Source organism: Homo sapiens, chromosome 4 (genome assembly GCF_000001405.40).
Source record: "Homo sapiens chromosome 4, GRCh38.p14 Primary Assembly".
NCBI classification, from domain to species: domain Eukaryota; kingdom Metazoa; phylum Chordata; class Mammalia; order Primates; family Hominidae; genus Homo; species Homo sapiens.
This window is the reverse complement of record NC_000004.12, coordinates 128,967,193-128,982,907: the sequence shown is the minus strand read 5'-3', so window position 1 is coordinate 128,982,907 and position 15,715 is coordinate 128,967,193. Positions and strand designations below refer to the sequence as shown.

Here is a 15,715-nt window from a genome sequence, read left to right as displayed (position 1 = left end):
TCAAACAAACAAACAAAAAAGACTAAGTAAAGCATTTGCATGGGGTCCTTATTAACTTCTCATCAGAGTGGCATCATCAGAATATTTGTTAAAAATAATTTTAGCTGGCCAGGTGCGGTAGCTCATGCCTGTAATCTCAGCACTTTCGGAGGCCAAGGCGGGTGGATCACCTGAGGTCAGGAGTTTGAGACCAACCTGGCCAACATGGTGAAACCCCGTCTCTTCTAAAAATACAAAAATTAGCCGGGCATGGTGATGGGAGCCTGTAATCCCAGCTACTCAGGAGACTGAGACAGGAGAATTGCTTGAACCCAGGAGGCAGAGGTTGCAGTGACCTGAGATTGTGCCATTGTACTCCAGCCTGGGCAACAGAGCAAGACTCCATCTCAAAATAATAATAATAACTTAGCCACTAAGGACTTATCTCATTAACAGACATAGATATTATATTCATGTAAGGAGCCTATAATTTGTCCAATCAATTTATTTTATATTCATTGAGAACTTAAACATGTACATCTGTGCTCTGAAGGTAGAAACAGTCTTTATAATAAGTTTATGTATAATGTGATAGCCTCAAAGTTGTTTTAATTTGACCCATTTCATCTCATGCACACTTTCGTAGCTTCGACAGTTTCTGTGAGGATGAGATCTCATTAAATTTTTCTAGCTCAGGGTTCTCCTGGTTATCTCTACCCACATGGCTCAGAGGCACCTGAAAAGCAGCAGGCTCCAAAGTAAGCTTATCATTATCTCTCAGATCTTTTCTCCATATTTGTGAATTGTACCATCCAATTCCTGATTCAGAAAACTAGGAGACATCATAAATTCTTTTCTGTCCCAACTCTACCTTATAAATGTCTCTCTGATCTTTCACTTCATCACTTTCTCATCTGAGCTGCAGTAGTAACCTCTAAATTAGCTTACTGTACCCATCTTCCTTTCTCATACTGTTATCAAAGTGATCTTTCTAAAATATGTCCGATCATGTCACTCTCCTTCAATGGCTACTAAATGCCTATAGGATATAATCCAAATTATTCAGTTTGACAGATTACTCAGCTTGAGTCTCCTGTAGTACCAAACATGCCTTCTTCCTGTGTGCCTCGACTGTAGACTGCACATACATCTGTCACAACATTTTTTTCTTTTTTTTTCTTTTTTTTTTTTGTGGGAGAGCAGAGTTTTATTATTATTCAAATCAGTCTCCCCAAAAACTCAGGGATCAGAGTTTTTAAGGATAATTTGGCGGGTAGGGGGCCAGTGAGTCAGGAGTGCTGATTGGTTGGCTCGAGGATGAAATTGTAGGGACTCGAAGCTGTCCTCTTAATGCTGAGTCAGTTCCTGGGTAGGGGCCACAGAAACGGTTGGCAGGTCCAGGTGGGGCCATCCGGCTGTCAGAAATGCAAAAACCTGGAAAGACATCTTAAAAGGACAATTTTAGGTTCACACTAGTAATGTTATCTTCAAGAGTAATTGGGGAAGTTGCAAATCTTACGACCTCCAGACTAAATGGCTGGTAATATTTAGAATTCCAGCCCCTCTTATCCTAACTTGGTGGCTAGTGGCCTTTCATTCATTTTACAATAACAGTCTAGCTTTTGGGAAGGGCTATTTAAACTATAAACTAAATTCCTTCCCAAGGCTAGTTCAGCCTATGCCCAGGAATGGACAAAGAGAGTTTGGAGGTTAGAAGCAAGATGCAGTTGGTTAGATCTGATATCTTACCATGTCACAGCATTTTTAACACTTTATTAAGTGTTTACAAATCCATCTCTCTACACTAGTCTTTGAGCCCCTGGAAGGCGTGGATTATGATCTGGTGATGTTTATCTTGCCATCATCTAGCACAGTACTAGACATATGGCAGGTGCTCAAAAAAATACTTTTTGAGTGAGTGAGTCAGTTAATTAAATAATTAAATTACACTTTATTGGAGAGACAAGGCTAATTTATTCATGTGGATTTTCTATTTGTGTCCTTTGCTCTTTGACCTCTAAGGGCACAATTATTTTCTTGAACTGTCATTATTTTAAAAAATTATATTTTATCTCCTTCAGCTACACAGAAATGTGTGACCACTTAGAAGTTTGATTTCCAAAACAACACACCTGGAAAAAAAAATCATTTTAATATAATCAATAGAAGCTTTGCACAATGAATTAAAAAGATTTTTAGTGTTTCTCATTATAGATCCAGCATTTAAGCTGTATTGACTTTTAAATCTGTTTTTATTACCAGTAATCTCAAAGTTTGACTGGGTGCTAGAGCCTTAAATATTTTTTATGTTTAGTGCTCTCTCGACATTTAAATATGAAATAAAATCCAGGACATCTTTAAAATATGCTAGCAAAATTACTTATATATAAGTGGTTTCATTGAAGAGCATTAGAGCTGATGTGATAGGAATGCAATTCTTAGTATTGCTCTATCATATTAAATCTGGAAAGGTAAATTATATAAATCACAGTTTGTATATGTTCATTGTGTTCATTTTTAATCTTTTTTACAAATGCATATTTTTTCTTTAAAAATGTGTGTGCTGATAATTTTTATATACTATCTTATTTTTTAAAAGACATGTACTTTTGCCAGGTAATAGTTTTATTTTAGCTAACAGATTTTTCTCAGATGTTTCATGTTCTAATTTAAATAATATTGTGTCTTCTATTATAAAAATGCTATGGAAATCTGGAATTCATGGATCACTAGTTTTGATTCATAGTGTGTCTTGGAAACAATCCCATGTGAGAAATGGCCCTGAGCAGATGTGCTTAGTCATAGAATTGCCAGACAGTTCCTTATGTGTTGGCAGCTAGTTTTCTGAGCATGGAAAACAGGTTTTAAGATAAGAAATAGGGCTTTGCTGTCAGTTTTCTATTTCTTCACACTGTTTTACTTTAATGTTATTTAAAGGGATTACTGTCACCTTTATTCAATAATGTTTATATATCTTTTTCTCTCAATCTTTAAGAGACAGTAAGAAGATTATTAGACTTCTAGAACACACTGGTCAAGAGTGGAACCTTAGCCACAGTTAATTAGTATTAACATTTCTTGTTTGGGGGTCTGGCAAGAATAAAACAAATACATAACATCATTGTTCAGAACTTTTGCCTCTAAGAGTAGATGACTGTTTTCTTTCAAAATATATTTTAATTGATGTTTATAACTTTCTTTTGCAGATACGCTACATTTGTACACCTGTCTTTAAAAATGTGGTTCTGTGTGGTATGAAATTTAAAAAACATAGGCTTTGAAGTCAGCTCTAGTTTTTTATTGTGGCTCTGCCATTGTCTTAATCCATTGGGGCTGCTATAACAAAATGCCACATACTGAATAGCTCATAAACAACAGAAATGTATTTATTACAGTCTGGAGGCCGTGAAGTTCAAAATTAAGAAAATGGCAGATTTGGGATTTGGTGAGGGGCTGTTTCCTGATTATACATGACACCTTCTCTCTTTGTCTTCACGAAGTAAAAGGGACAAACAAACCTCCCTTGGGCCTCTCTTATGAGGGCACTAATCCCATTTTCGAGGGCACTGCTATCATGACCTAATCACCTCCCAAAAGGCCCCACCTGGTAATATCATTACATTGAGAGTTATATGAAGGTTGTATTTATATGAGATTTCAACATATGAATTTTGCAGGGACACAGATACTCAGACTAAAACAGCCATTTACTGGTGATTGACTTGGGTAGGTTGTTTAACTGCATGGACTTCAGTTTCCTCATTGCTATAATGAAAATGAAATTACCTTCCTTGCAGTGTTGCAATATAATATAACTTACTGTCTTTGCCCACCTCCCTTCTACTTTAGTATCCAACCTCTGTAGGTAGGATATACAGTACTTACAAATTACCTGCTAATAGATTTGGGAGTTGTTATTAACATTGTAATAAATAGTGGATTATTTACCCCCCAGACCTGGGAAATCTGCCTTTTGTTGTTGCTGCTGTAATTTCTAGGACCAGAGTAACCATTTCTTTCTTTCTCCTCTTTCTATTATATTGTACCCCCATTTCTTGCCAACTGTACAATCCCAAATTCTTTCTATTCCCTCCTGTATGTTTCGGTTATATTCTTTTTGTTTTGAAATCTTAGTTTCTCTTTTGCATGGTTCTTTTAAGACTTCAGATGTATAGACCTCCCTGATGACTCCTCAGATACTTTCTTCTTCCTATTCTTTGATGTTGCTTGGAAGAATCTGTATTTATTATAGTCACTCTTTGGAATTTTCTTCAGTTTGGATTCAGCCCCCCTCCATCTATTCTTCTCCTCAAGAATTACTGGTACCTTTTATGACTTAAAAATGCCTCCCTCATTCTCCTTGGTTGTTGATTTTCCTTAACTGATGATTTTTTCTACCTTTCTTAAACATTTCTCTACCAGGACTTTTGTGTTTATGCCATGATTTCTTCTCTGACTTTTGTTGCTTGTTTTTTTGTTTTGTTTTGTTTTGTTTTTTGCTTCTTTTGCTTCCCCCATTTCCTTATCCTACCTATGAAAAGTATACATTTCTTAGATTTCTAACCATGTGACTCAGTTTTTCTCCTTCATAGATGATCATATCTACCCTACCCAATTTAAACTTTCAGCCCTAATGTTTTCCAAGTATACACCTCTGACCTTGATTGCTTTGTTGAGTTCCATAATTGAATTGCTAGGTCAGTGGTTTTCAAACTTTTTATTTTTTGACAGTAAACTCCTTTTTTAAAAAAAGAAATCTTATACATGGAACCTCAGAATTTAAACTTATAAAAGTAGAATGGCTATGATTGAAGGAGTAGAGGGTCTCTCTATCTTACTAGCTAATGCCATCATCAAACCTCAGAATTTTTGCTTGCTTGCTCTCCTTTGCTTCATCTCTACATCTGCTCGTGTTGGCTCTATGTACAGATGATCACAAATCTAGTCATCATCCATATCACCTCTACCCCACCATCTCTTGTTTGCAGTACCCTTTTCTCTGGTCTACCTGCTTTCACTCTTATTCCATCGCAATTCATTCTCCACACAATATATCACATCATTTACCTGCTTCAGACCCTCCAGTGGATTTTCATTGCAATTGGAACACATTCCAAAATTCCTAGTATATCCAGAAGGCCCTTATGTGATCTGACCTCTACCTTCCTCTCTGACTTTATCTTACACTTTTTTCTCTGTGATACGTTCCGTCTTAATTGTCATTTCTTTGTCTTTCTCATATTCTTTCATTTATTCTTAATTATCTTCACCTGTAATTCTCCTACCCTAAGTTTTCTTCAGTTTGCCTCATCATCCTTTAGGTCGTAGCTCAGATATTTCTACCATAGATGTGCCTGATGACCCATGTCTTTCCTATTTCCCTGTATCATCTTCTTTGTAACATTGTCACTTTCTTTAATTACCTGATTTATTGAAATACTTGTTGCCTGTCTCCCTCCATTACAATATGAACTTTATGAGACAGGGGCTTTGTCTTCCTTGTTTACCACTGCATCACCAGTGCTGAAGACAGTGCTTCGTATGGTGCATGTAGGTGCTCAATAGACAGTACTTGGTATAGTACATGTAGGTGCTCAGTAAAATAACTCTAGGACTCCTGAAATAGAGATAAAACAAACAAAAAACTGATGAGCCACCAGCACTTAAGGCTCAACATGTCCAAATTATATTCACAGTGTCGGGCATGTTATAAGCATTCAATAAATATTTGTTCAAAGAATGAATGCATAGAATCCCTTAAATTCTGTTTGTAAAATCTACACCATCTCTCTCAGAATTGTTGTCATCACTCTGGTTTAGACTTTTCCTCCCTCTTGCTCATTTATTATAACATATTGGTTACAGAGAGAGACAGAACTATCATTCTAGTCTATTCTTTTTCACAAATGTCAGGTTTAAATTTCTAAAGTGCAGCTCTGAGCTCCGATACCATTATTGGTACAGTTTCCCATTTGCCTTTAAATTGATACAGATAACTTAACTGTCAATTAAGGTCATTGACATTGTAGTCCCCATGGCCTTTACAGTCTTATTTCTCATCTTCCCTAAATAAGCCCTACACTTACCTACCTTTATGCTTGTGCTTATCTTGTTTCTTCCTAAAGCTTTCTCTGTCTCTTCTTGTGAGATATATAATTCCTCTGCCAATTCTTGCTTTAAATACCTCTCACTTCAATATTCTCCCAGCTAAATGTAAATGTGCTGCATACTCAGAATCATAATGTTTTATTTTAATTTTTTTGTTGCTTAACATATGCTTGCTTTGTGGCCCTCCTCAAGATTACTATAGCGCTATAATTACATTGAGCTGAAAGTTTAAATTGGGTAAGGTAGATATGATCATCTATGAAGGAGAAAAATCCTTTGTGTGTTTTGTACCACATTATTGCAGCACCTCAAACATTGCAGGCATGAAGTAAACATGTTTTAAGCATGTCTGTTGCATAAGAGATTTGAATAGTCTGATCAATAATAGATTATGAATTAATATTTTCTGCACCTTGTCAGTGTTACCCAAAGTTACATGACTCTAAGACTAGACTTGTAATCATCGTTTACAAAAGAGTAAATTGTCAATCTTGTAGGTATTTTGTAAAATTTAAGACAGTGAATATACATCAGAATCCCCTGTAGAGACTCTGAAAAACAGAGATGACCAAGTACTGCTTGCAGACGTCCTGAATGAGTAAGTCTCAGATTGAGCCTATCCATATATGATGTGAAAAAGCCTATCCATATTAGTTGCAAAAAGCTCACTTTCGTACACACAAAGTATGGACACTACTACTAGTATCATAGAATATTGTATCTAACATAGAAATTAGAATTTTGAATTACCTGAAACTATGTATAATTTTGAATTAACTTCAAGTGTGTATAAATAATATACAAATAACGTATTTAAAAACTGAAGAGCCACTGTTTTGGAAAGTTTTGATAGCTCAGCGTATGGATTATAATATCCACTGCTTTTAGAATTTCTTTGGAACCCTTCTGTCTTGAATAGGTTTCATTATTAGACTGCCAGTAAAGATTGGGAAGAGGAAAAAATTTGAAATAAAACTTTATCCAGTTTTGGTACTTACTCAGTTTCCTAAAAGCAGTAGTGATTTTAAAAGTTTAGAACTTTGTCTAAAATTATGTTTCAGGATTTTCTAAAGTTTTTAAGTGTAAATGATTGGCTTTATTATACTGGGTAATTACAAAAGTCCTTATTAAATTACCTAACGTGTGCATTTTTTTATTTTAAAGAGGAAAAAATTAAGAATATCAAATCAGCAAAAACTAGCTTTTATATCTGAGAATCTTACCATTTTTCACTGTATGCAAAAAAGGCATAAACATTTCTAGGATTCTCTTTGTATGACAGTGCAGGAAGAAACATAAAAATTTGTCTTAAAATAGACTCATTGTACTTGATGTTAAGTCTCAAAAAAGTGTATTGATAATTAAAGCATTTTAATTTCTGTCCAAATTGATGGTATAATTTAAATCTAGTATTATATCCTATCCTTTATGTTATACTTGATTAAATTTTGCTTAACAAAGTTTTATTTTTAAAAAGTTGTTGGCCGGGTGTGGTGGCTCATGCCTGTAATCCCAGCAGTCTGCGAGGCCGAGGCAGGCGGACCATGAGGTCAGCAGATCGAGACCGTCCTGGCTAACACGGTGAAACCCCGTCTCTACTGAAAAATACAAAAAATTAGCCAGGCGTGGTGGTGGGCGCCTGTAGTCCCAGCTACTCAGGAGGCTGAGGCAAGAGAATGGCGTGAACCCAGGAGGCGGAGCTTGCAGTGAGCCAAGATCGTACCACTGCACTCCAGCCTGGGCAACAGAGCGAGACTCCATCTCAAAAAAAAAAAAAAAAGTTGTCATTCAAATCTGTTTAATATCATAAGAAATGAAGTAATACATTAATGAAAAATCCCAGGAATATAAAGTGGATTAACAAGCATACCTGAAAATAAAGTAATGTACTTTTTAGAATATTAATTTGAAGCAAAAATAAAATCCTTTGGTAGTTATGACATCAAGATTGTTAATAGTTAACTAGTTGTGTTTTTTTAAATCAAAATTTTTTTGTTAAACTGTTCTTGACTTTTATAAAATTACATACACAGGCAGACATATATCTAAAACATTTGCATGTAAATAGTATAAACATAATTATTGAGTTTCTTCATAAAATAATATTAGAATTATTTTTGTTAGTTCCTTCAAAAATTTTAAAAGCTTGAATATTTAAAAGAACTCACAAGACTGCACAGAGCATACTTACAGAAGGCTTTTATTTAAAGGCCAAAGGATATTGTGCAGCCAGAAAAAGAACATAGGCAAGCATCTAGCGTCCAGAACACATTCAGGATAGGCACCCTAGGGCCTTTATTTATATACAGACATGCTTTGTCTCCACATTGAGCCACCAAGATCTGTGCAATGAATCTTGGCTTCAGGAGAGCTCCAGGCAGGAGTTCCCATCAGGGTCATTTTTTCTGGCACACTGATCACATAGCCTAGCCTGGCTATCTAGTTATGCCTGGTGAAAATTATCAGTAAACAAATCAACTTGCAGGCTGCAGGAAGAGATTCATACTTTAAACAGCACATCATAAATCCCACTGTTCGTATACTGGCTAAGAGTCAAGGCTAGATATTCAGGCATCCCCAGAGCTTTCCCAGTCCAGCTGTAAATTAATACTTTACTACACAGTTCCTGACAATTTAATCTAATAAAAGGCAAAATGATGATGGTAGCTGCATTGTATAAACTACAGTAAAATTTATTAAATGCTTTAATATGTATTAACTTATTTGAACTTTATAATTCTGTGAGCTATATGGGAAAATTATTTTTATCTCCATTTTATAGATACTAAGACTCAGAGAGGTTAAGTGATTGGCCCAGTTCACATACCTTTTGTGTTGGTAGAGTCAGTTCTAGAAGACAGGCCTTCTGCCTTTTATTTTAGATTTTTTTTCAACACTTCCTGCCAAAAGTAGATATAAAGAACTATTTACTTACTTTCTAACTGTTCTATGGAACAGTGTGGGAATAAACAAATATATTTAAAACCACTACTTATTTCCCCCCAAAAAAATAGTATTTGTGGTTTAGTGAACATAATATAATATGAATGTTTTCAGAATTTTTTTTATAATGACTTCCAAATTAGGTCTAAGTCCAGTGCCTATTTTTTTTCTTTTTACTTATGTAGCAGGAGATTTCATTTCAAAGGAATATGAGATAATATATATTTGGAATAATTGTTCATAAAATTATTTTTCTAGAATTTTTCACACATGAATATTAAATTGGGTGTGCAAGATCTAGGTAAAATATCAAGATATAGTTGTACTGTAACATTCTCTCTCTCTTTCTCTCTCTCCCTCTCTTTCTCTCTCCCTCTCTTTCCCTCTCCCTCTCTCCCTCCCTCTCCCTCTCCTCCCTCCCACTACTCCTTCCCCTCCCCTCTCCCTCCCCCCACCTTTTCCTTTTGCCCTCTCATTCATTTATGATTGATTTACTTGTCTCCTATGCCCCAGGTACTATGCTATCTCCTGAAGGTTTAAAAATTAATAAGATGTGATCCTTGCTTTTAATTATCTTACATTGTATATTTTTTATGAACTCACAGTTCCACAAAGGAGAATCTCTATAGTATTGATTACAATACAGTGTGTTCAATTAATAATGTATAAAGTATTATATATTATAAGTATTGAGATATAGGGTTTTTGCCAAGGAGAAGTTAGTGAAGACTTGAAGATGGGGAGATTTTTGATCTAGGTCAAAATTAAGGAATTGGTTAGAAAAAGAAGAAGACTAGTCCAGCCAAACATGTGAAAAAAGAAACAAGGATGTGTTTAGAAAACAGCGAGTGAGTACTTTATTATACTTGGAATATAAATTACATGGGGGTAATTGGCAAGAGATGAGACTCTTTGAGGCTAGATGTTGACTGGCCTTATATGCCAGTAGAGGAGTGTAGACTTATATGTAGAGGAGTGTAGACTTTATGCCAAAAAGTGTGGAATCCAGGAATCATTGTTAAATAGGAGTTTTTATTACTAGATAATTTTTTTAACAGATAAGATACATTATAAAGAATGAACAAAAGAGGAGACCATCAGTGAAGAGATGAGTTTGGAATCTACTGGAATAGTCTTATGAGTGATAATGAAGCTAAAGGTTGGGCCAAAGAATGAAAAAGGAATACACAATTGAAAGACAACTTAGAAATAGACTCAGGCCAATTAGATTGAAATAAGGAAAGAATCTAATTCTAGAATTTTGGTCTTGGCAAATTGCCTAATCCACCTCTGTTTTTGGACATGAGGTCTTTGAGACGTGCAGCATGGTCAAGTGAATTGTATTAAGACATATTACTAGTTAGTGACAGAATTGGGTCCCTGCCTGTAGTGTTCTCCACATTGTACCTTGCTTCCTGTGTCTCCAACAGGTTTTTTTTTTTTTTTCCTTGATCATGCTATGACCTTATCTTGCTTACAGTTTACAGGACACTCTAATATACATTATCTATTTTTACTTGTTCAGCAATCCCATGAAACAAGTAGAACAAGCAATTATTTTATCCTTTCTGAAGGTAAGAAAACCAAATCAGTGTGGTTGCTATGCTTTTTCAGAGTTTTCTCAGTTTTATCCTTACTACTTAAATATATTATTCCTTAAGTTTTTCCTTTAAAAATATATAGGATTTTATAACTGGTAGAATCATTTGTTGATTTAGATTGTAGATATACTCCTGAAATTATCTCTCAGCCTGACGCAGAGATTTTACATGAATAATGTGGTTTTTATTTTGTCCTTAGGGAATCATTTTGCAAATGAAAAAAACCTATTTTTGTTTGATTTTTTTTTTTTCTTTGAGATGGAGTCTTGCTCTGTCACCTGGCTGGAGTGCAGTGGCACGATCTCGGCTCACTGCAACCTCTGCCTCCCAGGTTCAAGCGATTCTCCTGCCTCAGCCTCCCAAGTAGCTGGGACTACAGGCACGCGTGCCATCACACCCACCTAATTTTTGTATTTTTAGTAGAGATGGGGCTTCACTATGTTGGTCAGGATGGGCTCAATCTCTTGACCTTGTGATCCTCCCACCTCGGCCTCCCAAAGTGCTGGGATTACAGGCATGAGCCACCGCACCTGGCCTGTTTGATTTTTTTTATAATCTTGGTTAATTTAAAGCAAAACATTTTCTTAAATGCCTCATCATATAAAATATTATTAGGACCATGTGAGGGTAGGCAGTCTGTCATAGGGGACTCATTAAATACTAGTTTTATTACGTATTGTGAATCCTAGGGCATATTAGTAAACCTCTATCAACCTTGCTCTCCTCTACTTCAGTTTGATATAATAGTAGTATTAATTCACAGTTATTATCGAGTGTCAAGTGAGATGACTGCAAAGCATTTACAACAGTCCCTGGCACTAATAACTACCTGAGATATTATCAGCTATTATTAGATTTGTATTTTCTATTGTAGGAAATTTATAACTATATAAGTAATGCAGTTTTAAAGACAAAGAGTCAAAAGGAAATGAACTAACATTTACTTGTGAATTTTGCATCAAATAATTTCTGTAAGTTCTATAGCACAAATATGATTTACATTTAGATACATACATAAAATGTAATTAAGAAATAGGGAACAGTTCCTACACTACAGTATTTTTTTCTTGAAAATGTATGTTCTTTAGATAATCAAAGGGTTTTATACTCACTTAATGCTTAATTATGATGATATTAAAAATCATTTTTTCTGTTTAAGAAAGTCATATTATTGTTCTAAAATCATTTCCTATGAGGAGTTAAGAAGATATTGAAACTTATTTAATTCTGTTAGAATGTTCAAAAAAATTTATCTTTTTCATTTGTTGCCAATACAGTCTCTGAAGAAAATAAACATTGTATTATGGTGGAACAAATGTTTTAATTTATGTTGTGTTTACATAATACAAACTTCTGGTGTCTATGGAATGATCAAGGTATTGAAGTTTAAGTTCATTTTCATAGAAAGTCCAATCAGCAGTATATCTCCATCTCCATCTATAAAGATATTATAGACATAAGTATATTCTTCTTAGTGCACTGGAGCTCTTGTTAGGTAATGTATCAAGATGATAAAGTGCTTTTTCAAGAAACTTATTGAATCACTTTGGTATATAATATAATTTACCCAAGTACAGCATTCATGACCTCTACTTCATACCCTTCGCCATTCAGCTATATTTTTTCCTCTTTAATATCTTCTACATGCACTTCATTAGTAATAAAGGAATCTTCCAAAATTTATTCCATGGATCCATTTTAGATAAACAAGAGTTAGAACTGATTTTACCAAATTCAGATTTCTATTCTAATTTTTTATTCTTAGTGGTCTATGAAAACAGTGTTTATTAATTTACTTTATTTTTTAGGCAAGCCAAATTAGAGCTGAGAGTTGCTGTAGCAAAAGTGGAAGAGTTAACTAATGTGACTGAAGATCTGCAGGGACAGATGAAAAAGAAGGTATTTTCTATTTCTAAGACAAATGGGTACCTATTGCTTAGTTTTCTTTCTATTTTGTTGATTTATTTTGGATTAGGTGTTAAAGAGGGTTGTCAGAAGATGAATTAATTATTTTAATACCCTTAAAATATGAAAGTAGGAAGCTAAACTATATTATTGAAAACAACTTTATAAAGAATTTTTTATTTCCATTCTCTATAGCCTAATTCAATAGAACGTCATAATCACACCTAAGCACATCATTACTGAAACGCAAATTGATACAAGATCAAGTTTCAGTTAACTGGTTATTTGCAGGTGGAAAACAAGCATTTAATACTACTTTTATGTTATTTACTAAAGTATTTATTGACACAATAGACTCTGGTTCTTTTTAATATGTAATAGAGAAATTTCAGAAGGATGTCAAGGAAAAGTCAGGCTTTAGTTTTAGATAGATATAATTATTGAAAATTCTCACTCTGGGACTTATTAGCTATGTAACTTTCTAAGCCTTATTTCCAATCTGTAAAAAGTTGATTATAGATTTCTAATAATGGTAGATTTTCTAAGTGTTACAAGAACCCTCCCATAGGTAACAATTTTAAAACTTGGATAAATTTTTAAAACACCAGAAAGCACCCAAAACAGAAAGAAGTAAAAGAAATAAGAATTGTTAAATTTTGGATGTCTGGCCTGATGGTTCTCCCAACCCCCACAGCTGTGGCTTCAGAAAACACCTTTGTATGGGCTTAAGGTACCCAGGTCAAAGTTTAGGGCTAGAAAAGCAGTAGGAAATTTATTTTATTTTATTTTATTTTATTTTTGAGTCAGAGTCTCGCTGTGTCACCCAGGCTGGAGTGCAGTGGCTTGATCTCGGCTCACTGTCAGCTCTGCCTCCCGGGTTCATGCCGTCCTCCTGCCTCAGCCTCCCAAGTAGCTGGGACTACAGGTGCACGCCGCCACGCCTGGCTAATTTTTTGTATTTTTGGTAGAGACAGGGTTTCACCGTGTTAGCCAGGATGATCTCAGTTTCCTGACCTTGTGATCTGCCTGCCTCAGCCTCCCAAAGTGCTGGGATTACAGGTGTGAGCCACCGCGCCCGGCCAGCAATAGGAAATTTAAAGAAGAAATACTGGCAGCAAGAGAAACACACAGAAAAAGTGAGAGCCAAATTCTGAGTGTAAATTCTTACCAAATTCATGCCTGACAACTAAATTATGCATATGGAAGTGGGGGAGGGACCCCAGAGAGGCCAGTGAAGAAGCAGGCAGAGACCTAAGAGAAATTTACTTTTGAAAGATAGAGATGTATGGAACTAGATATTTGAGTTTGCTACTTTTTATAATTGAATACATGCGAGAAATGTGTGCAATTGAAGCATCAGCATACTGAAGACTTCCTTATTGTTTGAAGTATCAGAGGACAAAGCCCAAAGCTGGAAAGGCAGCTGGATATTACAGGGGAATCTGTAGAAGCGAGGGAACCACAAAGATGATGAGCCCTAACTCTGCCCAAATCTTGACTGATCTTCAAATTATGTAGGCACAGAGCCTAGTTATAAAAGCAACAGTGGAAAGCAGTAAGAACTAATTACAGATATCAGCTGCTACCTACTGTATGTGGAACAGATTTCAAATTTCAAGACCAAGCAAGATAATTGTCTACTTGAACTAAAAAAATAAAAATAAAAATTTAATGCTCAAAAGAACGAAACAGAGTAACTGCAATGTATTATCTACACTATTGAGTTTTCAAAAATTACTAGACAGAAAAGTATGACCTATACTTGTGGGGGAGGTGCTGAGGGAGGAAGCCATTAGAAACTGACTTTAAATGGATCGATCTGTTAGATTTAGCAGACAGAGACTTCAAGTCAGCTATTATATATATGTTCAAGGAATTAAAATCTGTTTTTAAATTAAAGTCTCTAGGAAGAGATAGATAATTTTAATTGAGAACTGGAACACAATTTTTAAAAAAGAAACTCTAGAGCTTTAAAGTTCAGCAACTGAAATAAAAATTTCACTAGATGGACTCAAAAATAGATTGGGAAAGACAGAAGAAATAATCAATGAACTTGAAGTCAGATCAATAGAAATTTCCCTGTCCAAAGAACAGAGAGTTTAAAAGATTGAAGAAAAATGAACAAGAGCTCAGAAATCTGTAGAACAATGTGAAGCAATGCAACATAAGTGTAATTGGAACTGCCAAAGGGAGGGGGATGGGAGCAGAAAAAAATTAAAGAAATAATGGCTGAAAACTTCCTAAATTTGGTGGAAAACATTAAAATTTAAGAATCTCAATGAGTAAACAAAATCACTTTGAGATACATCACAATGATACTGACAGCCAATTATGAAGAGAATACCTGAAAGTAGCAATAGAAAAATGACCTGAACAGAGAGGCAATGATAAGATTAATGGCTAAGTTCTCATCAAGAAACTGTGGAAACACTTCTGGACATAGGCCCTGGCAAAGATTTTATGTCAAAGACTCCAAAAGCAATTCCAACAAAAAGCAAAAATTGACAAGTGGGACCTAATTAAACTAAAGAGCTTCTGCATACCAAAGGAAACTATCAACAGAGTAAACAGACGACCTACAGAATGGGAAAAAATATTTGCAAACTGTGCATCTGACAAAGGTGTAATATCCAGCATCAATAAAGAACTTAAACAAATTTACAAGAGAAAAAAAAACATTAAAAAGTAGGCAGCGGACATAAACAGACACTTTTCAAAAGAAGATATACATGTGGCCAACAAGCAAATGAAAAAATGCTCAACACTATGAGTTAGAAAAATGCAAATCAAAATCGCAATGAGATACCATCTCACACCTGTCAGAATGGCTATCATTACAAAGTCAAAAAATTACAGATGCCGGCAATATTGCTGAGAAAAGGGAATGTTTATCCACTGCTGGTGGGAATGGAAACTAGTTCAGCCACTGTGGAAAGAGGTTTGGAGATTTCTCAAAGAACTCAAAACAGAAGTGCCATTCAACTGAGCAATCCCATTACTGGGTATATAACGAAGTAGTATAAATCATTCTACTATCAAGACACATGTCCATGTATGTTCATCACAGCACTATTCACAATAACAAGGAGATAGGATCAGCCTAGATGCCCATCAGCAGCAGACTGGATAAAGAAAATGTGGTACGTGTACACCATGGAATACTACACAGCCATAAAAAG

General features: G+C 35.1%; 1 protein-coding gene across 12 annotated transcripts in view; it reads left to right on the top strand.

Moving 5' to 3' along the window:
* The window catches only part of SCLT1 (sodium channel and clathrin linker 1), a 220,299-nt gene that overhangs the window by 110,632 nt on the left and 93,952 nt on the right, over positions 1-15,715 (top strand). For all 12 annotated transcript variants that reach the window (XM_047449590.1, XM_017007717.3, NM_144643.4 and 9 more), the window contains exon 10: positions 12,440-12,530. In XM_047449590.1, coding sequence (XP_047305546.1) covers positions 12,440-12,530 — 91 coding nt within the window. The remainder of the gene's footprint in view (positions 1-12,439; positions 12,531-15,715) is intronic.